The 25,421-nt window shown below is 38.3% G+C and overlaps 1 protein-coding gene and 1 pseudogene across 22 annotated transcripts in view, besides 1 other annotated feature; one reads left to right on the top strand and one right to left on the bottom strand.

Annotated features, from left to right (window-relative positions):
• Positions 1-25,421, top strand: part of NR3C1 (nuclear receptor subfamily 3 group C member 1) — a 157,582-nt gene that overhangs the window by 91,796 nt on the left and 40,365 nt on the right. The gene's annotated exons all lie outside the window — the stretch shown is intronic.
• Positions 8,677-8,746: an enhancer, noted in NCBI's record as "active region_23336". NCBI's record gives its function as "activates an Ori minimal core promoter by ATAC-STARR-seq in GM12878 lymphoblastoid cells {active_cell/tissue: GM12878}" and the evidence as "EXISTENCE:reporter gene assay evidence [ECO:0000049][PMID:35858748]".
• Positions 9,927-24,122, bottom strand: RPL7P21 (ribosomal protein L7 pseudogene 21; annotated as a pseudogene).

The following is a 25,421-nucleotide window of genomic DNA, read 5'->3' as shown; positions in this document are numbered from 1 at the left end:
ATCATAAATACACACAGAGTAACAATACTGGGAATATTGCAACTTGTAAGAAAGAGGAAGCATATGGCATATTCTGATGGTTAGGGATATGGACTCTGTAGCTGGGATGCCTGAAAGAGAACTCTGACTCCACTAATGGCTAGTTATATGAAATTGTGCAGATAATTTAACTTCTCTGAGTTTGCATTTTTCTTTGTCTATATAATGGGGATAATAATAGTACCTACCTCACACATAGTGTTAATTTCTATTAGTGGTTCTCATTAAGATAGTATTGTTGTTCATCCCTGGTTGTTAGCCATCATGTATCTGAGTTAGAGAGTCATTGATTTTAGAAAGTCCCGAGGAGACTATCAGGTCAAGCAACCTGCCTCCTGCTAGACAATTAGCTTTATCCATGAGTTACCAAAGAGGGAGCCGAAACCCAGGGAAGCTGAAAGAGCTGTTGATTGTCACCCTGTGAGTTGGTGATAGAAAGATATCTGGAATCCCAGTAGTTGCCCATTTCCTAGTTCTGGGCTCTGCATTGCACTAGAATACTGTGCCATTCTAAATATGAAAAGGCAGTATGACCATTGTGCTTGTCACTTTCCATTCCCTAGATGCTATCTTATATTTGTCCTTATGAAATTTAACCTGTGACTTTCAGATCACTTAGAACCTTGGTTGGACAGTGTTTTCTAGTGTTATTTAGTATATTTTTTTGTCATCTTCTGTTGTCTTTGGGTTCCCCTAAAAGAGCTATACTCTGGGTGCCAGGAAACTTCACACATGACTGTCTTCTCTTCCTCGACTTCCCTCTCTACTTACCTTTCCAGCTCGTAGCAAATCAGAAGACTTCTCTGACACCTCTCTATGTCTAAAGGTCCTTTGATATTCTCACATGGCGGCATGAATCACAGTGTATTTTAACTGGCCTTTTCCTTGTATGTCTCCTACAATGAGCTGTTGAAGCTTCATGAAAACACAATCTGTTTTACTCAGGGCAGTTATAATTCCAATTACAAAGCACATTTCCTGGCTCCTGGCTAGGAACTCGATCATTTTTCGATGCTTCCTTGCTCAGGACTTTCTGATTCCTTCTTAAAACATTTTGGGGCATCTCCTTCTCCTGGTTTTTGGAAACATATTCTCATACTGCTATGAAGGTTTTTACTGACATTTCCAACTTCTCTTAAATTGATTCAGCAAATGTTTTTCCATAATAAATGTCATTGATATGTCATCAATATGGAGAGCAACAACAGAATGCATTGAGTAAACTCCTCCCCTGGAGGTCTGAGAATCTAGATTCCAGTTCTCACAGAGCCACCACCTTGGTGACCTTGGACAGTAGACCTTCTAAGCCTCAGTTTCCTTATCCCTTAAGTGGGGATATTAATAGAACCCATTCTCAGAGATGTTGCCAAGATTAAAATAACCAAGATAATTCCTGTAGATGATTTGGCATAGTGCCTGCCACGTACTAAGCAAGAGTTAGCCTCCGTCATTATAGTATGATCATAAAAAATGAACAGACTAAACGAAGTAACCAGAAGGAAAGAAATTTTAATTCTTAAAATGTAATAGTTTCTTGGTTTTTTTTTTTCTGTGAAACACCTGCATGGCACCTTTTTGTTATTCATACTGTTTTGACTGTGGCTGTCGTAGATTCTTGTTGAAAGTCTGAGAGACTGAGACTTGTCATTTTGAACATGGCATCAGTGGAACAGCTTATGATTCAATAATTGCATCATCCTGGACAAGCACCAGTAGAAGTGAGTCAGGACATGTGATAAAAAGACATTCATTTTGCCCCTCCTCCCTCTCTGTATTTTCTTTGCTATAAAATTATTGATGTTAAGCCCATAGTACTAATATTTCAGTTCAATTCATAATAAAATTTGAGGGCATTTGAATATATTATCTGTTGTAAATTATAATTTTATATTTGACCACAGAGTATTTGAAGTGGGTCTTTTCTTTCCCCAAAATTCTATTTTAATAACTAAAAAATATTCTTAGGAGAAGTATTATTTAAGAACAGGTTTATATTAAATAACATCATTTCACTTTCAACTTTCTGGTGGTCAAAAAATATGCTAATACTAATTAGGATATGATACACATGTTCTGTTAGAACAGTTTTGGCAGTTAGAAGACTTCTCTTCTTGTGTTTGAAAGGGATGTTACTTGGGGTAGTTATGAGCCATGTATCCAGATGTCCTGAAAGGACCAGTGGTAGATGTATTTCTATTTTTGTCTTTTCTTTTTTCTTTCTGGCATTCTAGTTGCTGAGTGACTGACTTTTGTTTTCAGCTCTTCTCACAATCACCATTGTTCTAATAACTTTGCTTAAATAGAATGTCTCCTTTTGCTATAAGCCATGGGGCCATTTACCGTTAATTTTTTAAAGTACTGAAATGAGAACCTCATAAATTAAAGAACACTCCTGATTCTGAGTTAGCAGATCCTACTAAGCCTTTTGCAGATGGAAATTTCCTTTAAATTGGTTTGTTTTCCTTTAACATTCCATTATCCTATTGTTCATTCTTTGGAGCTGTGATTTGTTTAATATATTTCAGGCTTCTTAATAAATCAAGTCATGTAAGTTATTATTTGGATCATTTCGAAACTACAACAGCTTATCAAACCTCTGAAAGAAGAATTTTGTGTTTGCCCACAGACTGAAGAACTGATTCAGTTTTATTGGCTGAGCTACCTTCATTATTCATATTTAATTCCTGGTACTGAGGGTGGGAGGAGGGAGAGGAGCAGAAAAGATACAACTATTGGGTACTGGGCCTAATATCTGGGTGATGAAATAATATGTACAACAAGCCCCCGTGACATGTGTTTACCTATTTAACGAACCCTCACATGTATCCCCAAGCCTAAAAGTTTAAAAATATATATTTGGTAAATCAATTGATGTGTTTTAAAAAATATCGCCTTTTGGCCGGGTGTGGTGGCCCATGTCTGTAACCCCAGCACTTTGGGAGGCCAAGCCGGGCGGATCACGAGGTCAGGAGTTCAAGACCAGCCTGGCCAACATGGTGAAACCCTGTCTCTACTAAAAATACAAAAAATAGCTGGGCGTGGTGGCGCGCACCTGTAATCCCAGCTACTCGGGAGGCTGAGGCAGGGGAATCTCTTCAACCCAGGAGGCGGAGGTTGCAGTGAGCCAAGATTGTGCCATTGGACTCCAGCCTGGGCGACAGAGCGAGACTCTGTCTCAAAAAAAAAAAAAAAAAAAAAAAATCATCTTTAAAGAGATAACTAACCCTTCCCCAGAAGGCAGGGCCAAAGTCTAAGGTTCTTCCAGGTCCTTTGTATTCCCTATAAATTTTAGAGTCAGCCTGTCAATTTCTATACACACACAAAAAAAGCCTGCTGGGATTATGATTGGTATTGCATTGAAATTAAATCAATTTGGGTATAAGAGACTTCAATTTGGGGATTGAGTCTATATTGAGTCTTCCAATCCAGGAACACTGTATATCTCTCCATTTAGTCAGATATTTAGTTTATTTCAACAATATTTTCAGATCTTTAGTTCCTTTCAGCAATATTTTCTCATTTTTCCTGTAAAGCTCTTGCACATCTTTTGTCCCATATCTATTGTGTATATGTGTTTTGCTAGTTATTAAATTATATTAATATAAATTTTATTTTCCAATTGTTTGTCGCATATATAGAATGTTTTAAAAATATTGTGTCCTGTGACCATGCTAAATTAACTAATTCTAGTCATTATGTCTTCATTATCTTTCTCTTGAATTTTCATTGTCTTCCCCTTCTGGGACTCCATTCATATGTAAGGCCATTTGATACTGTCTCTCAGGTCCATGAAGTTCTGTTAATTTTTCTTCATTCTTCTTTTTCTCTGTGTTCTTCAACTGAATGAATGCCATTAATAATTTGGTATGTAATGGCTCACTTAAACTTCCTTTTGTTTTTAAGATATTTCTACTCTCAGCTGTGTCTGGAATCCTTTAGTCCGGAGCCCCACCAACCCTCAGCCTAGAAGGAAGGAGGAGAAGGATAGGGTGAAAGGAAGGGGAGAGCTTCTAGCTTCAGGACAGAGATCAGAACAAACAACAGAGCAGTCATCTTGGATAAGGAAACTTCCCTCAAACCTATTACTTATATCCTCAGAAATAAGAAAAATAATGCATTTATCAAATTAAAGGATTTTGAAAAAGGGAACATTCAGAGAATAAAACTAAACTCTTGAAAGTTAAAAGGATGATAACATAAATGAAAAGCTCAGTTGAAGGATTGAAAGATAAAAGTAAGAAAATATCCCAGAAATAAGAGCAAAAAGACAGCAATGTAAAATAGGGGAGAAGATAAGAGAATTAGAGAACCAGCTTAGGAGTTCTAGAAAGAGAAAATGTAGACAACAAAAGGTAAGAAATCATCAAAGACTGGAGTAGGGGAGGTCATGCTATCTGTTTCTTTTTCTATTTTTTATTTTGAGTTACATTTTTTTTTACTGTGAAACAAGCATATGTACATGAGAATGAACAAAACAAATATGCAGTCATGTATTGCTTAACAACAGAGATAGGTTCTGAGAAATGCATCATTAGGCGATGTCATCATTGTGCAGACATCATAGAGTGAACTTACACAAATCTGAATGGTATGTCCTACAGTACACCTGGACCATATGGTATAGCTGTTGCTTCCAGGCCACAAACTTACAGCATGTTACTGTACTGAACACTGCAGGCACCTCTAATACATCGGTAAGTATTTATGTATCTAAACATAGAAAAGGTACAATAAAAATACAATATAAAAGAGGAAAAAAATAGTACACCTGTATAGGTGCTTACTGTGAATAGGGCTTCCAGGATTGGAAGTTGCTGTGAGTCATTGAGTAGTGAGTGAATGTGAAGGCCTAGGACATTTATTATATGAAGTCTACTGTAGTGTAAACTCTGTAGACTTAGGCTACACTAAATTTATAGAAAAATTTTCTTCAATAATAAATTAACCTTAGCCTACTGTAACTTTTTTACTTTGTAAACTTTTAATTTTTTTAACATTTTGACTCCTTTTTAGTAACACTTAGCTTAAAACACACACATTGTACAGCTGTAAAGAAAATTTTATGTCCTTCTTCTGTAAGCTTTTTTCCATTTTTAAGATGTTTTTATTTTTAAAACTGTTACTAAAAACTAATACACAAACACACACATTAACCTAGGCCTATACAAAGTCAGTGTCATCAGTGTTCAACCTTCACATGTTATCCCACTGGAAGGCCTTCAGGGGCAATAACAAACACAGAGCTGTCGTTTTCTGTGATAACAGTGCCTTTTTCTGATATACCTACTGAAAGACCTGGCTGAGAGTGTTTGACAGTTAACAAAAAAAAAAAAGGACAAGAAGTACACTCTAAAATAATGAAAAAAGTATAATACAGTAAATACATAAACCACCAACATAGTCATTTATTATCATTATCGAGTATTATGTACTGTACACAGTTGTATTTGCTGTACTTTTCTATAACTGGTAGCACGGTAGGTTTGTTTATACCAGCATCACCACAAACATAAGCATGGTGTTGTATTACAATGCACAGCTGCAGCTAAGTGATAGGACTTTTTCAGCTCCATTATAATTTTATGGGACCATCACTATAAATGCTGTCCATCATTGACTGAAATTTATGTCGTGCATGACCATACATACAATTTAATGAAAAATAATAATAATAAAGCTAGCAGTGTGTAATTACCAACCAGGGCAAGAAATAGAATATTGCCAATACCTTGGAGGCCTCCAGTATGACCATATAAGTTTACAAATCCTATTTTGTTCCTCCTCCCCAGAGGTAACCACTGCCCTGACAAATGTGATCGTTGTTTTCTTGTTTTTCTTACTACCTATATAAACATCCTTAAACAATATAACTCAGTTTGTATATTTTGAATTCCATGTTAATAGAATATCATATGTATATGAATTTTATGTGAATAGAATATTATATATGTCATTTTGCATCTTGCTTTTTTCATTCAACATTGTAGGATTCATTCATGTTGTAGTGTACAGCTGTCGTTTATTCATTGCTGTATAGAATTATATCCTCAGAGATAAGATATATGGATGTTTATAAATCATTCCACTATTATGAACATTTGACTAGTTTGTAGTTTTTATTTAACCAAAAAAATGCTGCTGCCAACATTCTTACACATTTTACTGTATATGCACATTAATTTATTTACAAGTATAAATTTCTTTTTGAATACATATCTATTGATGGAGTTGCTACATCATAGGACATTCTTGTCTTTGACTTTACTGGATAATACCAAACTGTCTTCCAAAATGATTACATCCTTAAACTCAGGACACATCTTATTGTCAAATGTTTAATTTTTGTCAGTCTGATGGGTATGTAAGTTATTTTATTGTCGTTTTAATTTGCATTTCCCTGATTACTAATTAAGCTGAGTAACTTTTCATATGTTTATTGGCCATTTGGAGTTCCTGTATTGTAAAGTATAAGTTTTTTTGTCCATTTTTCTAGTTTTCTGTCCTTTTAGTTGAAATCCAAATTTGCCTAAATCTGTTATTCTCTGAGCACAAGTAACTTGGGATGCTTTCCTTTAGATTTAGCCTAATTCTTTATCATTTTGTCAGCTTGATGGTGCTTTTAAGGAGATATATATGTGTGTGTGCGCACACATGTGCGTGTGTGTATATATATATATGTATATGTATGTATGTATTTTTTGAGACAGGGTCTCACTCTGTCACCCAGGCTGGAGTGCAGCGGCACAGTCTTGGCTCACTGCAGCCTCCACCTCCTGGGTTCAAGCTTTTCCCTGTCTCAGCAACCCGAGTAGCTAGGATTACAGGTATGCCACCATACCCGCTAATTTTTGTATTTAATAGAAACAGGGTTTCGCCATGTTGACAGGCTGGACTTGAACTCCTCACTTGAACTCCTCACGTCAAGTGATCTGCCTGCTTTAGCCTCCCAAAGTGCTGGGATTACAGGCATGAGCTACCGCGCCTGGCCTGGATATTTTTTAAAAATATTTTTTATCTAGCACTTTGGTTTTTGGCAGGCAGGTTGGCACTCATAGTCTGACCTACCATTTCTATAAAAAGAAACCTGTAAATGTTCTTAAACAGACTTTGAACCAGTCTTCCTGATTTTGAACCCCTACCTTTACCCCCAGTTTTTGAGCCTTTCAGAATTTTTTTTCATAATAATTAGGTTGCTTCTTAGCTTTCCCCACTGGTGACTTAACAGATCTTAGGAAGCCAACAATCCTTGTCCATCTGCTTTCTGTCTTGTGAACTGTTGCTGGTATTGTCTCTTCTCTTTATTCTTAGAGGTGTATGCTTTTAAAAACATATACTGGGTTTGAGAGGGAGCTGAAATAAAAGCATGTGTTAAATATACCATCTTTAACCAGAACTACATTTGACTGGTCATTTTATTTTCAAGCTCACATACACTTCAAACAGAGATATGGCTAAAGGAATTATCATGTGAACAACAGCCAGGGCTCTGAACATCACAGATTATATCATCATACTTGAAATATTTGAAATTTTGATTCAAAATGAGAGCTTTATAGCTATGTCCTCAATGGACTAAGTGTTTAAGTACTTAACATCCAAAACATTCTTACTAATCAAGAGAAGACAAACACCCCAACAGAGAAATAGGCAAATTTTATCAATAGCCAGTTCACCAGATTTGTTTTCTGTTAGAAGCGAATATGGGGAAATACATGTGTCCATGTTTTGCCTACTTTTCCTGGAGCAGGTAAGGAGAGGCAGTTTAAGGATCCATGTGATAAACCCTAAAGTTGTCCATCGGCTTTCCAGTCCCTTCTAGGAATTTAACTTAGGGAAATAATCAGACATTTGCAAAGGTGTGTACAGTGGTATTTATAATAGTGAAAAACCAAAGAATGACCAATAACGGGAGAATGGAAGTTACAGCCAAATACTTTACAACTACTAAAGAATCATGTAAAATATCTATTGACATAGGAGTTTTATCAAAATGTGAAGTATACAGATGAATAGTACCACACATAAAAAGCAAGGTGCAAATTAGCCATTTATATTGTTATCCCCAAAATAAATAGATGCAGTTTTTTTAAAAGATGCAGGCTATATATGGAAGTGTTTGCTGGTTTTCTGTCAAAAGAATGGCGACTTTATTTTCTAATTTAAACTTTTTGCTGTTTTCTAAATTGTCTAAATAGTTATAGTTTTTATAATGTAAAAGTATCTTCCAATTTAGCTTCATTTGACAAATTACCTTTTCATTCTATCTAGCTATGTAATTCTAAATGAATTTACAGCAGTAATCTTAGAGCAGATGAATTTACAACAATAATCTTAGAGTAGACTACGGATTAGATGTAAAAACATGAGTTGGGCTTTATGGTTACAGAGAGTTTTCCTCAGTGTGGGGATCATAGCTGTATTGAGTTTATTCAGTTTTCCTTTCCCACATGAATGAAAAATGGGGCCAGCCTACAACTGGAAGGGCCTCGGCATGTACCACTGTACTGTGTATGATGTGATTTCTTGATGCTAGTAGGGAGAGAATCAAATTGCCTCCTATTCAAACCAAGACCCACAAATAGCGTCAACCAGTCATTTCAGCTACTCCCTGCAGTGTCAAGAAGGTGTGAACCCCTCATGTTCTCTATTGCATACCCTTGTCTAATTCAGTGTTTCTTCTTCTTTTCAGGTTTTGGCTTTATGCTACATTTCAGAAATCATAATAACCTTTTCTGGTATTATTTTATTCTTTTTCGCACTGTGAGAAAAATTAAACTTTCAAGTGGATGCTTCTTATAAACTATTTATACCCTTTTGCTCCCTTTTGGGAGGCAGGGACAGGGACAGAGTTCCTCCTCAGGCTAACTAAGAAAACTTACTGCTTCCAATGTAATTTAAAAGATCTCCCTCTTTCTATTGCTCTCTGTACTCTTAATTCTTTTTTTTTTTTTTCACAGCAGAGACAAGTGAACATTTATTTTTATGCCTTTCTTCCTATGTGTATTTCAAGTCTTTATCAAAACAAGGCCCCAGGACTCTCCAGATTCAATTATGTCCTTGGGCTTGGTCGACTGCTGTAGGAGTCTCAGGGAGCCTTCTACAAATGCTAGAGTGACTCATTTACCAACATTAAACCCTAGGATACATGCAACAAAGCAGGACTCCTTCCTCCATGGAATGTGCCGATTTCAGATGACACAGCACCCAATGTAGAAAACGCTGGAATTTTTCCTTGGAACTAGACTGTGATGAGAGGTGCTTGACATGAACATAAGCTACTGTCTTTTCTTTTTTTTTGAGACAGAGTTTCGCTTGTTGCCCAGGCTGGAGTGCAATGGCGTGATCTCAGCTCACTGCAACTTCCACCTCCCAGGTTCAAGCGATTCTCCTGCCTCAGCCTCCTGAGTAGCTGGGATTACAGGCACGTGCCACCATGCCCGGCTAATTTTTGTATTTTTAGTAGAGATGGCATTTCTCCATGTTGGTCAGGCTGGTCTCGAACTCCCAACCTCAGGTGATCTGCCTGCCTCAGCCTCCCAAAGTGTTGGGATTACAGGCATGAGCCACCACGACCGGCCAGCTACTGTCTTTTCTTTGACCCTTCCTTTCCAGTTTTTGAAGATAAAGCAGGAAATAATCTTCTCTGAAGATACTTGATAAAAATTCCCAAAACAACAAAACGCATGCTTCCACTTCACTGATAAAAAATTTACCGCAGTTTGTCACCTAAGAGTATGACAACAGCAATAAAAAGTAATTTCAAAAAGTTAAGATTTCTTCAGCAAAATAGATGATTCACATCTTCAAGTCCTTTTTGAAATCAGTTATTAATATTATTCTTTCCCCATTTCCATCTGAATGACTGCAGCAATAGTTTTTTGTTTGTTTGTTTGTTTGTTTGTTTGTTTTTTGAGATGGAGTCTCGCTCTGTCGCCCAGCTGGAGTGCACTGGCGCAATCTTGGCTCACTGCAGTCTCTGCCTCCTGGGTTCAAGCGATTTTCCTGCCTTAGCCTCTCGAGTAGCTGGGACTACAGGCACGTGCCACCACACCCAGCTCATTTTTGTATTTTTAGTAGAGACAGGGTTTCACCATGTTGGCCAGGATGGTCTCAATCTCCTGACCTCATGGTCTGCCCGCCTTGGCCTCCCAAAGTGCTGGGATTACAGGCGTGAGCCACCGCGCCCGGCCAGCAATACAGTTTTTAGTTACTCGACATCTTTAAGCCTATAACTCTTAGGCTATGCATAGCCCCATGTCCTAATCAGGCATTCACTGATCCCAGCAGGTCTCCATCTATTTGTACCAGCCTCCTCTTTCCTCCCAATCTCAAGGTTACTCTTAAATACTAGTAAATGCAAAAAGAACTTGTAAAGTGGCAAGGCATGGCCTATCAAAAGTCAGCCCAAGGGCAGTTTTCAGCCCTGCCTCACCTGGGTCTAGTTCAGCTGACGGATGAGCTGATTGATGCGTTCACCCCGATAGCCAGGTGTGCCCATCTCCTTGAGGAAGCCCACTCTATTTTTGGTAGCATGATGGGCCACTGAGAGGTGGAAAGGGCGCAAGAACCATGAGATCTCCTGGAAATGCTTCCCTGGGAAGGCAATTTCATGAATGAGGTCTTCCAAGCAAATGAAGCCAAACTTCCCCAGGTGCTCCTCAATCACTGTGTTGTCTGTCAGAGGGATGGTCTTATTCTTGACCTTGGCTTGTCCACGTTTCAAAATGAGTTCTCGGACAGACTTCAGATTTGGAAATCCCCAGGTCACATAAGGTTCCACTATATGCAGCATTTTTAGATTCTAGGGGGTAACTTTTACAAAGATACCACTAAAAATTTTCTTTAGGCGAAGTCTTGCAGTGGTTCTCTGCACCCGTAAACTCACGCCATCAATCCTTTCGATGCGTACAACAAAGGCCAAGGAATGTTTATCTGGCAATTCCAAGGCATGAGGTTTCACTTCTAGTCGTCTGAGACGCACCTTGTCACGTTTCTGCCGCCAGGAATCATGTAGGAATGATTCCAGTCGCTTAAACCTGAGCCCTTTTCCTTTCTTCTGTCTTGCTACTGCCATCTTTCTAGTGGTGCAGCTACTCAATTCTTTTTTTAATTATAATTTTTATTTTAAGTTCCAGGGTACATGTGCAGGATGTGCAGGTTACATAGGTAAACATGTGGCCATGGTGGTTTGCTGTACCTATCAACTCATCAGGTATTAAGCCCGGCATGCGTTAGCTATTTTTCCTAATGCTGTCCCGCCCCCCCACCCAACGGGCCCCAGTTACACTCTTAATCCTTATAGCTCAGATGTTATGATCCACAGTGTGGTTCTTACAGAAAGTTATGGATTAAAAAAAAAAAAAAACACTCAAAGTGCCCGAACTTTCTTAAAATAATCCTGGTACAGCTAAACTCATGCACTGACTGTCCACCTAATATTTAACAGTCTGTGTTGTGATATATTGTTTTAATGTTCTGAATGCTTGTCAGCTTTCAGTATTGAAGATGTGAATCATTTATCAGCAATGACACATTTAGTCTAAGGTTGTCAGCTATTTATGCTACAAATTAATGACTTGTCCTTAAAATATCAATTTTGTGATTCATGTTTTGGCAGGTGGTTAGATGTTTTGTGTTCTAATTTTAAACTATGGATAAAGGTTTTGTCATAATCATTGTTTTATTGGTTCCTTTTCTCCCCTGCCCACTCCCCAAAAAACCCTGCAATTCTTTTTTGTTAAACTTTTATTTTAGGTTCAGAGGTACATGTGCAGGTTTGTTATATAGGCAAATTTTGTGCCACAGGGGTTTGCTGTACAGATTATTTCATCACCCAGGAAATAAACACAGTACTTGATGGATAGGTTTTTAGTCTTCATTCTCTTCCCACCCTCAAGTAGGCCCCAGTGTCTGTCCTTCCCTTCTTTGTGTCCCTGTGTACTCAATGTTTAGTTCCTAGTTATAACTGAGAAGAACATGTGGTATTTGGTTTTCTATTCCTGTGTTAGTTTGCTTAGGATAATGGCTGCCAGCTCCATCCATGTTGCCGCAAAGGACATGATTTCATTCTTTTTATCGCTGTGTAGAATTCCATGGTGTATATGTACCACATTTTCTTTATGCAGTCTTCTGTTGATGGGCTTTTAGGTTGATTCTATGTCTTTGCTATTGTGAGTAGTACTGCAGTGAACATACACATGCATGCGTCTTTATGGTAGAATCATTTATATTCCTCTGGGTATATACCCAGTGATGGGATTGCTGGGTCGAATGGTAGTTCTGTTTTAAGTTCTTTGAGAAATCATCAAACTGCTTTCCACAATGGCTGGATTAATTTACACTTCCACCAGGAGTGTATAAGCATTTCCCTTTCTCTGCAACCTCACCAGGATCTATTATTTTCTGACTTTTTAATAATAGCTGTTCTGACTGGTGTGAGATGGTATCCCAGCACCATTTATTGAATAGGGAGTCCTTTCCCCATTACTTGTTTTTGTTGACTTTGTTGAAGATTGGATGGTTTTAAGTGTGTGGTCTTATTTCTGGGCTCTATTCTGTTGCATTGGTCTATGTGTCTGTTTTGTACCAATACCATGCTGTTTTGGTTACTTTAGCCTTGTAGTAGTTTGAAGTCGGGTAATACGGTGCCTCCAGCTTTGTTCTTTTGGCTTAGGATTGCTTTGGCTATTTGTGCCCTTTTTTGATTCTATATGAATTTTAAAATAGTTTTTTTCTAATTCTGTGATGAATGTCATTGGTATTTTGAGAGCAATAGCACTGAACCCGCTAATTGCTTTGGGCAGTATGGCGATTTTAACAATATCGATTCTTTCTATCCCCTGCAATTCTTTGTTGTTGTATTTAACTATTTTTACTTGTGAAGTTTTTTCAGGGATGATTTTGTTGAAAGTGACAACTCTAAAAATTATGTTGGTAATTAAAATTTTAAGTAATGACTTTTATTTTCAGAGATTCCACTTCTCTTAGACTTTGGAGCTGTTAACAGCAGTGTCCAATCTGCAGTGGTACTCAGCAGTTTCTGTTTCCTGCATGCAGAACTGCTTATATGAAAACACAGTTTTAAAAATGCTTTCTTATGGCTGACATTCACATTCTTATTCCTTTTGATTCTTTTCAAGAGGGATTTGGTTTGTTAAAATTAATTTTTGCAATACTTTTATGAAGATACAAACTCTGACAAAGCTTTTAAAACAAGTTTGAGAGAATACAGTATTGATTTCACTTGTAAATCTGACGATTATTTTAGAAAAAAGGAAAATATTATTTACTATTATTTTGCTTATAAATGTTTATCAATTTTAAAGCTTCCACATTGCACATCTCCCACTACAACAGTAGCTACCATTTATTCTTTCTCAAAAAAAGTGCTAAGTGTGCCCTTGAAATTTTTACATTGTGCAGAATATCCCTAAAATTTTAAAACAAAAATTACATCATCACTTGCTTTAAATGTTTCTTCTTTATTTAACATACAGTTTCTAAAATGTTAGCAAATAGCATTTTAGAAGAGACACGTTACTTTTCTAATGAATGTTCTAAAATGAACCACAGTAACCTATACTTACTTAGACTGTGAAAAACAAAACTTATATTCTATTGTTAAATTTTCAAAAGTGAAACTACACGATAGTTTACTTGGCACATCACTCTGTTATTGTGAATTGACAAATGTATATGTAGACAAATATGTGAAAATCAGAGTACATATACATTATATGCAGCACCACAATACATTTTTTAGTATGTTTTGACTGATATTTAATTATATAATTTACCAAGAGGATCTCACCAGAATGTAGAAAAGTATTGAATTTTAGAACAATTCACATATTTAAAAAAAATGTAGTCAGCCCTTTTATCTGTATCTGGAGAATGCAGGGTAAAGGAATAATACATGAGTATTGGTATTTAAAAAAAGGTGTTAATTTCTTACCTATGATACCTGTTACTTTGGGTATCATTTAACCTTTATTTCTGTGAAATAGAGGAGTTCTAACATCCTCTAATTATTATAATATTGTTCTAATTTAATCTATCTTAATCTGTGATACAGTTTGAAAACCAAGCTTTTACTATTGGCATGTGCAAAAAAATAAAGCAGCAGTAGACTTGGAATCTTGAATGCAAATTTAGATTTTGCCTCTTAATAAATGTATAATATAGTGTTCTGGGACCAATTCTCTAACATTTCTGAGTCCTAGTTTCTGCATCTGTCAAATGGGATTAGAGATACCTACTTTCAGGATGTGATATGGTTTGGCTCTGTGTCCCCACCCAAATCTTATCTTGAATTGTAATCCCCATATATTGAGGGAGGGACCTGGTGTGAGGTGTTTGGATCATGGAAGTGATTTCCTCCATGCTGTTCTCGTGATAGTGTGGGAGATCGCAAAACATCTGATGGTTTAAATATGGCAGTTTCCCCTGTGCTTTCTCTCTCTCCTGCCACCATGTAAGACTTTCCTTGCTTCCTCTTTGCCTTCTGCCATGATTGTATGTTTCTTGAGGCCTCCCCAGCTATGCAGAACTATGAGTAAATTAAACCTCCCTTATAAATTACCCAGTCTCAGATATTCTTTATAGTAGTGTAAAAACTGACTAATACAGAGAATTGGTACTGGCAGGGTTGGGTACTGCTATAAAGATAATCTGAAAATGCGGAAGTGACTTTGGAACTGGGTAACAGGCAGTGGTTAGAACAGTTTGGAGGGCTCAGAAGAAAACTGGAAGATATAGGAAAGTTTGGAACGTCCTAGAGACTTGTTTTGAATACTTTTGACCAAAATGCTGATAGTGACGTGGACAATGAAGTCCAGGCTGAAATGGTCCCAGAGATGAGGAACTTATTGGGAACTGGAGCAAAGGTTATTTTTGCTATGCTTTAGCAAAAAGACTGGCAGCATTTTACCCCTGCCCTAGAGAACTGATGAACTTTGAGATGATTTAGGGTATTTGGCAGAAGAAAATTTCTAAGCAGCAAAGCATCCTAGTGGTGACTTGGCTGATTCTGAAAGCGTTCAGTCATGTGCATTCACGAAGATATGGTCTGAAATTGGAACTTAGGTTTAGAAGTGAAGCAGAACATAAAGGTTTGGAAAATTTGCAGCCTGACCATGTAGTAGAAAAGAAAACCCCATTTTCTGGGGAGGAATTCAAGCCAGCTGCAGAAATCTGAATAAGTAACAAGGAGTAATAAGTAATAATAAGTAAAAAGTAATAAGTAATAAGTAACAAGGAGCCAAATGTTAATAACCAAGACAATGGAGAAAATGTCTCCAGGGCATGGCAGAGATCTTCGGGGCAGCCCCTCCCATCACAGGCCTGAGAACTAGGAGGGAAAAATGGTTTCCTGCTCAGGGCCTTGCTGCTCTGTACAGCCTCACGACATGGTGCCCTGCATCCCTGATGCTCCAGCTCCAGCTGTGGCTGTAAGGGGCCAAGTTACAGCTCGCACCATTGCTTCAGAGGGTGCAAGCCCCAAGCTTTGGCAGCTTTCACGTGGTGTTGGGCCTGCAGGTGCGCAGAAGACAAGAGTTGAGGTTTGGGAACCTGTGCCTATATTTAAGAGGATGTATAGAAACGCCTGGATGTCCAGGCAGAAGTCTGCCATGGAGGCAGAGCCTTCATGGAGAACCTCTGCTAGGGCAATGCGGAAGGGAAATATGGGGTTGGATCCCTCATACAGAGTCCCCACTGGGGCACTACCTAGTGGAGCTGTGAGAAGAGGGCCTCTGTCCTCCAGGCCCCAGAAAGGTAGATTCACCGACAGTTTGCAGTATACGTCTGGAAAAGCCACAGAATGCCAGCCTGTGAAAGCCACAGGGGTACCCTGCTGAGCCACAGGGGCGGAGCTGCCCAAGGGTATGAAAGCCCACCCCTTACTTCAGTGTGCCCTGAATGTGAGACATGGAGTCAAAGGAGATTTTGGAGCTTTTAGATTTAAGGGCTGCCCAGCTGGGTTTCAGATTTCATGGGGCCTGTGGCCCTTGGTTTGACCAGTTTCTCCCATTTGGAACAGGAACATTTACCCAATGCCTGTTCCCTCATTGTATCTTGGAAGTAACTAACTTGCTTTTGATTTTATAGGCTCATACGTGGAAGGGACTTGCCATGTCTCAGATGAGACTTTGGTCTTGGACTTTTGAGTTAATGCTGTAATAAGACTTTGGGGGACTGTTGTGAAGGCATAATTGGTTTTAAAATGTAAAAAGACATGGGATTTGAGAGGGAGCAAGTGCAAAATAATATGGTTTGGCTCTGTGTCCCCACCCAAATCTAATCTTGAATTGTAACCCGCATGTTTTGGGGGAGGGACCTGGTGGGAGGCAGTTGGATCATGGGGGGGTTTTTTCCATGCTGTTCTTGTGATAGGGAGTTCTCAGGAGAGTTGATGGTTTAAATGTGGCAGTTTCCCTTGTGCTCTTTCTCTCTCCTGCTGCCAGGTGAGACGTGTCTTGCTTCCCCTGCCCCTTCCACCATGATCATAAGTTTCCTGAGGCCTCCCCAGCCATGCAGAACTGTGAGTCAATTAAACCTCCTTTCCGTATAAATTACCCAGTCTCAGATAGTATCTTTATAGCAGTGTCAGAATGGACTAATACAGGATAGTAATGAAGATTACAGAATATGTAGATGAAGAAGTGCTAAGTAAATAGCAGCTATTATTATGTAGTCAAATTGAATGTATACATTGTGGTACTTCAGTGTCCTTTAAATTGAATAACTAGAAATTTGTTGGCTTTCTCAATCTGCTCACATCAGATGACATGTTAATTTATGCCTATACTTTTTTCTAGTTAATAGATATAAATCTATTCACTCAACTTCTATTGACAGAACTGGTAGTGTGGCAAGACATCTCATTTCTAGTTAAGGCTGTATAATATTAAGTTCATTTTACTTAAATTAACTATGGTTTGGGAAATGCTTTTCATGTCATCATGTATGCCCAATTTGATACTTTAGTGGGACAGTATATTTCAGAAAAAAACAAATGCTTCCCCAAAAATTCCAGGGTTGAATACATTAGTCAGACATATAACAATGTACTTCAGAGTTCCTCTAAGGGCAAAAATCGTGGTATGAATATACAAAACACTCCTATTTATACTTTTGTATTTTTGAAATGTAGTCTTCATGTTAATTTAGCATTTCAATGACCAGCATGACATTATCTTAATAATTTGGAATGCCAATATGTTCATTTAAGACTTAATATAGTAAGTATCTAAAGAAAAAAATGGAAGTGACTGAATGCTTTTGTATCTCTTAATTATAATTTGTGCTCCATTGTGATATGAAGGATAGAAGGGGCAGGATAGATAGAAAACAGAAATTAACTTTGATGTTTAACCTTACCTTAAGACTGTCTGTTAAGTGACCCACATAATCTTAAAAAACTCTGTCAAGCTTAATGGATGCTACTCTGCAGGCCCCTGCCAGGCAACAGTCACAAGGTTATGAGGTGCATAGATTTTGGAATTAGGCAGAGCTGAATTCAGATCCAGGTGTTGCCTTATAATGCGACTTTGGGCAAATAAAAGGCCCAATTTTTGTATTCTTATCTGTAAAATGGACTCAGTAAAAATTATTTGAGATAATTTATTTGTGTACTGTACCTAGGCATGCAGCTTGACACACAGAATTACAAGTCAGTAGTTTCCAGTATGATTATTATTGTGAAAGAGATATTTTGTTTCACCTACTGAAAACTTTTTTCAGTCTTAAATTTTTTATCTAACTGGCTGTATTGCAGATGTCTGCTATATAACTTTTATATAATTTTAAAAACTATTTCTTTCCTCCTTGATCTTCTAGGGGTAAGGTTACCAATGTTTTCATTATTTACTAAATATAGCAGCCCCCACCCCTTATTCATGGAGGATAGGTTCCAAAACCCCTAGTGTATGCTTGAAACCACAGACCACAGATAATCCCAAATCCTATATGTATATTGTTTTTCCTATACATACATACCTATGGTTAATGTTTAACCTACTAATTAGGAAGAGTAAAAGAGTAATAGTAACTAATAATAAAATAAAACAATTGTAACAATATTCCAGCATCACTATTCTTGTGCTTTAGGGCCACCATTAAGTAAAATAAGGGTTACTTGAACACAAGCACTGTGATACTGTGGCAGTCCAACTGGTAACAGAGATAGTGATGCGGTTTGGCTGTGTCCTCACCAGAATCTCAACGTGAATTGTATCTCCCAGAATTCCTATGTGTTGTGGGAGGGACCCAGGGGGAGCTAATTGAATCACAGGGTCTGGTCTTTCCCTTGCTATTCTCGTGATAGTTAATAAGTCTCACATGATCTGATGGGTTTATCAGGGGTTTCCCCTTTTGCCTCTTCCTCATTTTTCTTTTGCCACCACCATGTAAGAAGTACCTTTTGCCTCCCGCCATGATTCTGAGGCCTCCCCAGCCCTGTGGAACTCTAAGTCCAATTAAACCTCTTTTTGTTCCCAGTTTTGGGTGTGTCTTTATCACAAGCATGAAAATGGACTAATACAGTAAATTGGTACCAGTAGAGTGGGTGTTGCTGAAAAGATACCCAAAAATGTGGAAGCGACTTTGGAACTTTGGAGGACTCAGAAGAAGACGGGAAAATGTGGGAAAGTTAGGAACCTCCTAGAGACATGTTGAATGGCTTTGACCAACATGCTGATAGTGATATGAACAATAAGATCCAGGCTGAGGTGGTCTCAGATGGATATTAGGAACTTTTTGGGAACTGGAGCAAAGGTTACTATGTTATGTTTTAGCAAAAAGACTGGCAGCATTTTGCCTCTGCCCTAGAGATTTGTGGAACTTTGAACTTGAGAGAGATGATTTAGGGTATCTGGTGGAAGAAATTTCTAAGCAGCAAAGCACTCAAAAGGTGACTTCGGTGCTGTTAAAAGCATTCTGTTTTAAAAGGGAAACAGCATAAAACTTCAGAAAATTTGCAGCCTGACAATGCAGTTGAAAAGAGAAACCCATTTTTTGAGAAGAAATTAAAGCTGGCTGCAGATATTTGCATAAGTAGCAAGGAGCCTAATGTTAATCCCCAAGACCATGGGGAAAATGTCTCCATGGCCATGTCAGAGACCTTCACAGCAGCCCTTCCCATCACAGGCCCAGAGACCCAGGAGGAAAAAGTGGTTTCGTGGGCCAGGCCCACGGTCCTCATGCTATGTGTAGGCTAGGGACTTTGTGCCCTGTGTCCCAGCTGCTCCAGCTGTGGCTGAAAGGAGCCAATATAGAGCTCAGGCTGTGACTTCAGAGGGTGGAGGCCCCAAGCCTTGGCAGCTTCCACATGGTGCTGAGCCTGTGGGTACACAGAAGTCAAGAATTGAGGTTTGGGAACCTCTGCCTAGATTTTAGAAGACGTATGGAAACACCTAGATGCCCAGGCAGAAGTATTACTGCAGGGCAGGGCTGTCATGGAGAACCTTTGCTAGGGCAGTGCAGAAGGGAAATGTGGGATTGGAGCCCTCACACAGAATCCCTACTGGGGCACTGCCCAGTGGAGCTGTGGGAAGAGAGCCGTCATCCTCCAGACCCCAGAATGGTAGATCCACCAACAACTTGCACCATGTACCTGGAAAAGCCACAGACACTCAATGCCAGCCTGTGAAAGCAGCCGGGAGGTAGGCTGCAAAGTCACAGGGGCGGAGCTGCCCAAGACCATGGGAATCCATCTTTTGCATCAGCATGACCTGGATATGAGACCTGGAGTCAAAGGAGATCATTTTGGGGCTTTAAAATTTGACTAACTCACTGGATTTCAGACTTGCATGGGCCCCGTAACCCCTTTGTTTTGGCCAATTTCTCCCATTTGGAACAGCTGTATTTAACCTGTGACACCCCCCTACCCCCTGCCCCCCATCCCTCCGGCCCTTGTATCTGGAAGTAACTAGCTTGCTTTTGATTTTATAGGCTCATAGGCAGAAGAGACTTACTAGCCTTGTCTCAGATGAGACTTTGGACTGTGGACTTCTGGGTTAATACTGAAATAAGCTAAGACTTTGGGGGACTATTGGGAAGGCATGATTGGTTTTGAAATGTGAGGACATGAGATTTGGAGGGGCCAGGGGTGGAATGATATGGTTTGGCTGTGTCCCCACCCTAATCTCAACTTGAATTGTATGTCCCAGAATTCCCATGTGTTGTGGGAGGGACCCGGGGGTGGGGGTGCAGTAATTGAATCATGGGGGCTGGTCTTTCCTGTGCTATTCTCATGATAGTGAATAAGACTGACGAGATCTCATGGGTTTATCAGGGGTTTCCAAAACTTTTGCCTCTTCCTCATTTTTCTCTTGCCACCACCATGTAAGAAGTACCTTTCACCTCCTGCCATGATTCTGAGGCTTCCCCAGCCATGTGGAACTGTAAGTCCAATTAAACCTCTTTTTCTTCCCAGTTTTAGGTATATCTTTATCAGCAGTGTGAAAACAACTAATACAGATGGCTAGTAAGGGACTAACCGGCAGGGAGCGTCTCCAGTGTGGATATGCTGGACAAAGGGATGATTCACGTTCCAGGGCATAAGATTTCATTACTCAGAATTGCACAGAATTTAAAACTTATTAATTATTTCTGGAATTTTCCACTTAATGTTTTCAAACTGTGGTTGACTGCAGGTACCTGAAACTGTCAAAAGTGAAACCACAGATAAGTGGGGAGTCCTGTACCTAAGATTATTCCTTTAAATTGTTTCAGTGGATATGTAGGGACCTGAGTGTGAAGTGAGAGCAGCAGCATCAAAACCTGAGGGAAATCCAGATAGCAAAAGAAACTTGTCTAGTATACTGGCATGACAGAGAAACCAAAAAGTTCTCAAGTTAATGTGAGAATCTAAGAATTAAAGAATTAAGCCTTTGCCTTTGAGGGAAGGAAAGGGGTAATGTGGCTTTAAATCAGGTTGAGATTGGTTCTGAGGGTTCCTTTTCCTTCCTTTATATTGATATGAATATAGACACAACTGTTCTGCATTTCCATTTGTTTTTATAAATGTCTTTTTAGGATTTAGGAACTGCTAATTATGCAATATGAGATATCTGTTAGTTTGAGGAACATTTGAAAATTTGGTCAAATGACACAGATCGTCACACAGTTTTAAGACAAATGTTTTTACCTATTTGACCTAGTCTGGCAATCCCTATTTGGGCAAAAATCTTCATTTGCAGGTCATGATTGGAGGCAGGCACAGAAAAAAAATTGCCACCTTTTTTGCATTATGTCATCAAGACATCAAACTTCAGCCTACAAAGTAGAAAGTGTTATTTCTCAAGTTGAAGGCCTGGATATACCTCAGCTTCTCAGTTCTGACACTTTATCATAGTGGAAAATGAAGAAGATTGCTTAAGAACACTGATGTTGGTGTCAGAAAGACCTGGGTTTGAACCCTGACTTTACTAGTTACTTAGATCACTTTAGGCAACTCAACTTTTCTAAATCTTGTTTCTTCATCTGTAAATGCTGAAAATAGTACCCACCTCTTAGGTCTGTGGAGAGGATTAAATGAGATAATCTATACAAAGAAAGAGCTTGCATAATAGTGCCAAGTAATGGTGAGGTTATACCTGTATTCTGATTATAATCTCATAAATATTTACCATGTTAGCTGTCTCAGAGTTCTTTTGCAAAACAGATAAAGATAGAAAGTATAAATAAGAAAAATAAGTGAACATATACTGAACTTTGTACAAGATGCTGGCGATATGGAGAGACCCAAGACATGGGCCCTACCTAAAAGAGATTATTGATAGAAACAGGATACATATACATCAAAAGGTAACATAGGATCATCTGTGCAAAGTGCTATATGGCAGTGTTTTAGGAAGTCTAGAAGCTGTCATGGATCAGGAATACCATGGTGGACACTTCAGGCAGGGAAAACAGATCTTAGCAAAAGCTACTCCTATCATAGGTACTTGATAAATATTTGTAGAATCCAGGATCCCTGTAGTGATAAAGAAACTACATGGATTATGTAGGGGAGTGATAAGACATATGACTGGAAAAATAAAAAGACCAAATTATGGACCATACTGAGCTTGTACTATAAACAGTGGAGGAGCCCTTCAGATTTTTAATCATGTTGAGAAAAGAGTTTTAGCAGTGTGTGGGGGATAGAATGGAAAGAGAAGCCAGTGCCAGAAGGACTACTTAGTATCAACCATTGCAGTGGTTAAAGCAAGAGGTGAGAGAAGGCATGCATTAGAATGGCAGCGGTCAGAGTGGATGGGAAGGAATAGGTCCTGACATAGTGTTACAGGGAGTAATAAATAGGATGTGGAAGATGGGTTAGAATTGGCAAAATCTCTGCATGTAAGTCTGGGTTACTAAATATAGTGAGAGAAATTCAAATCTCTCTTTAAGAATCGAATAAAATATTTAGAAATAAGTTACTGTTGTATTTGAGGTGAACACAAATGGCATTTCAAAGATGCTCGAGATACCTTGTTGGAAAAAGTCAATAACTGCACTATTGTCTCCAACATGTTCTTGCCTTCTCTGAAGACATCATGTTCCTAATTCTGAATTATGAACCATCTATTATCCTTGTATGCTCTTATGTGTGAGGAACCATAAGGTGGGAACAAAATCCGGTCTTCATTCTAGAAATAACTATGCGATCAAAAAGTTTTTAGTCTTTCTTCTTACCATACTGGTTCTTGGTATTCTGTTTACCATTCAATGTACTATTATTGCTTCTGCTTAAAACTCGCATCCCCTAATGCAAGCCTGAGCAAACAGAACTGATAACACACAGCCTGAGAAGGGAGTGCTTGGGGTCTCAAGACTTATTCTGTTTTTCTCCATCTTTGACACTTGGTTTGAAGAGCAAAGAAGGATACAGCTGTTAGGAAGTAAGTTACCCAAACACAGTGACCAAACTGGATTAATTCTTCCAATGAGAAAGAAATACATTATTTCTGTGAGACAGATTAGACTTTAAGTAGCATAGATAACATGATTATATTCTCTCTACAAATAAATACACAGGACCTAAGAAACCCTTTACAGATCCAAGTGTTTTCCTCTCCACTTTTCCATCCCCAAACCCATCTTGCAAGATATGGCCAGCTTATTTGGAGTTAATTAAATCAAGACCTTCGTTTTACAGACAGGGAAACCAAGCCCAGAGACACTGAGTAGTAGGCCACTGGTGTCTTAGAGGTCTGAAAAATCCTTTACTGAACATTCTCTTGATCTATTAATGTATAGGTTTTGTTGCTGTAACCCTCTCCCCAAGAGGAGTGAATATAAATGATGCAGAGTTTGGATGAACTATCTTAATAAGAACCTAAAGTTGAAACCAATGCAAACCTCTCTCAATAAATGCAAAGCAAAGAGAATAATCAGTCTTTCTTTGGCTTGTTAAATAAGATAAAATGTGTTCTGCTAAAACCATTTAACAGAAATATTGTGAAAGGTTTCCCCTAAAGCATTTTTCTATTTGATTTGAAAACTATTCCATAGCTTATTATCAAACAAATCAGTAATTCTTTAGCTAATGCAGAGATAAATGGGCAGTCAGAAAATATAATCACCTGGTGTGTGCAGCTGAGTATTTACATTTTTCCTAATGAACAAAGATAAGAAAAGTGCAGGTGACTTTAATGTGTAAAAACTACCTTTTAGTGCTAGCGCTAGAGGGAAAAAGAAATTACTGGCTCAAGCCAATCCTGTACTTGATAACTAAGCCGTATAGTCCATGGCTTGGCTTCAGTTCTGTTTTGAATCTCTTTTTGGACTTGTCTTGAATGGACTGTTTAGGGCTGCTTCAGTAGTGCAGTTGTTGCATTTTTAAGCATAGTTTAGGTTTTAAAATGTTTCTGGTCCCTTTTTTTTTTTCTTTTCCACTTTATGTTGCTTAAAGCTTTATGGCCAGGTTTTCTCATCCTCAGCATTATTGACATTTGAAGCTGGATACTTCTTTGTGGTGGGGGCTGTCCTGTGCCTTGTAGGCTGGTTAGCAGCATCCCTCGCCTCTTCTCACTTAGATGCCAATAGCATTTCCCCAACCGTGATAACCAAAAGTGTTTTCAGACACTGCCAAATGTCTCCTAGAGAGCAAAATTGCTCTCTGTTGAGAACTACTGTGTTACGGTGTTTGGACAAAAACTGACAAGCCAATGGGAATATTCTATTGGTAGTTGTAAAAAATTAATCCAGTTATAGCAGCTGTATTTCTGGAATTTTTTTCCATATTAACACTTGCTTTCTGAGGTGATAATATCTTTGTTTTTTTTCTCCCAAATAGATTTCTTGCATTACACTGAAAAATTGCTGATTAATTCACTTAAATTGAAGACTAAGCCAATCATGTCATTTGGGTAATAGTTTACCAACTCTGCCCCTTTCTCTGTCAGGGAAGCCTCTAATTTAGTAAGCGATACTGTATCCTTTTGTCAGGTACATTACCATTCCTATTAGCAATAGGGCAATTGAGATTGAGAAAGATTAAAAGGTCACCAAGCTATTACATTGTAGAATTAGGTTATGAATTGTAGCCTATCTGGTTTAGAATCTTTACCTTACTAGTCTCCATAACAACAATTCTTCCAGTGTGGTCCATGGGGCCCTGGGAGTCTCCCCTTAAAGGGCAGACTATTTTCACAGTAACACGTACTTTATTTGCCATTTCATTATGTCAGCATTTGCAATAATGGTACAAAAGCAAAGATGAGTAAAACTGTTGGCATCTTAGTATACAGTAGTTACTGTATTCACTGTCATGCACTTAAAATCTTTGAAGAAGCAAAAAAATTATTAATTACATTAAATTTCAACCCTTAAATACATGTGGTCTTTCTCATGTCAGTGTGACAAAATGAGAAGGTGCATAATCCACTTATATCGCATATAGCATTTGATAGTTGTCTCAAAGAAAAGTGTATAAGATTAAACTGTGAGTTAACCTACTTTTTTTCATGGAGTACCATGAGAGATAAACTCTGGTTTTCAGCCTTGGGTATTTGGCGATGTTTTCCCAAAAATGACTGAAGTAAACTTAGCACTTTAAGGAAAACAACTTAAAGTATTTGTTGCCAATTGATAAAATATAGGTTTCAAGCAAAAATCAGAATTTTTGAAGACTTGTATCTGCCACTGTGAGCTTGACAAATGTGACTCTTTTATATTACATAATGAACTATGTCAACATTTGAAAGATCTGCATAACTCAGTGAACCAGTATTTTCCAGATGACTAATGCATGATAATACAAAATCATGCATGGGTAAAAGATACATTCAAAGTGCAAGATAGACTGACATATTTCAATGTAACAATCAAAAGTTCATTGATAACAGTTTTGGATTCCACATTGCAATACTAAAACCTTTAAAAAACGAAATTGT

The sequence above is a fragment of the Homo sapiens genome, chromosome 5 (assembly GCF_000001405.40).
Source record: "Homo sapiens chromosome 5, GRCh38.p14 Primary Assembly".
NCBI lineage: Eukaryota > Metazoa > Chordata > Mammalia > Primates > Hominidae > Homo > Homo sapiens.
This window is presented reverse-complemented; position numbering and strand designations above follow the sequence as displayed.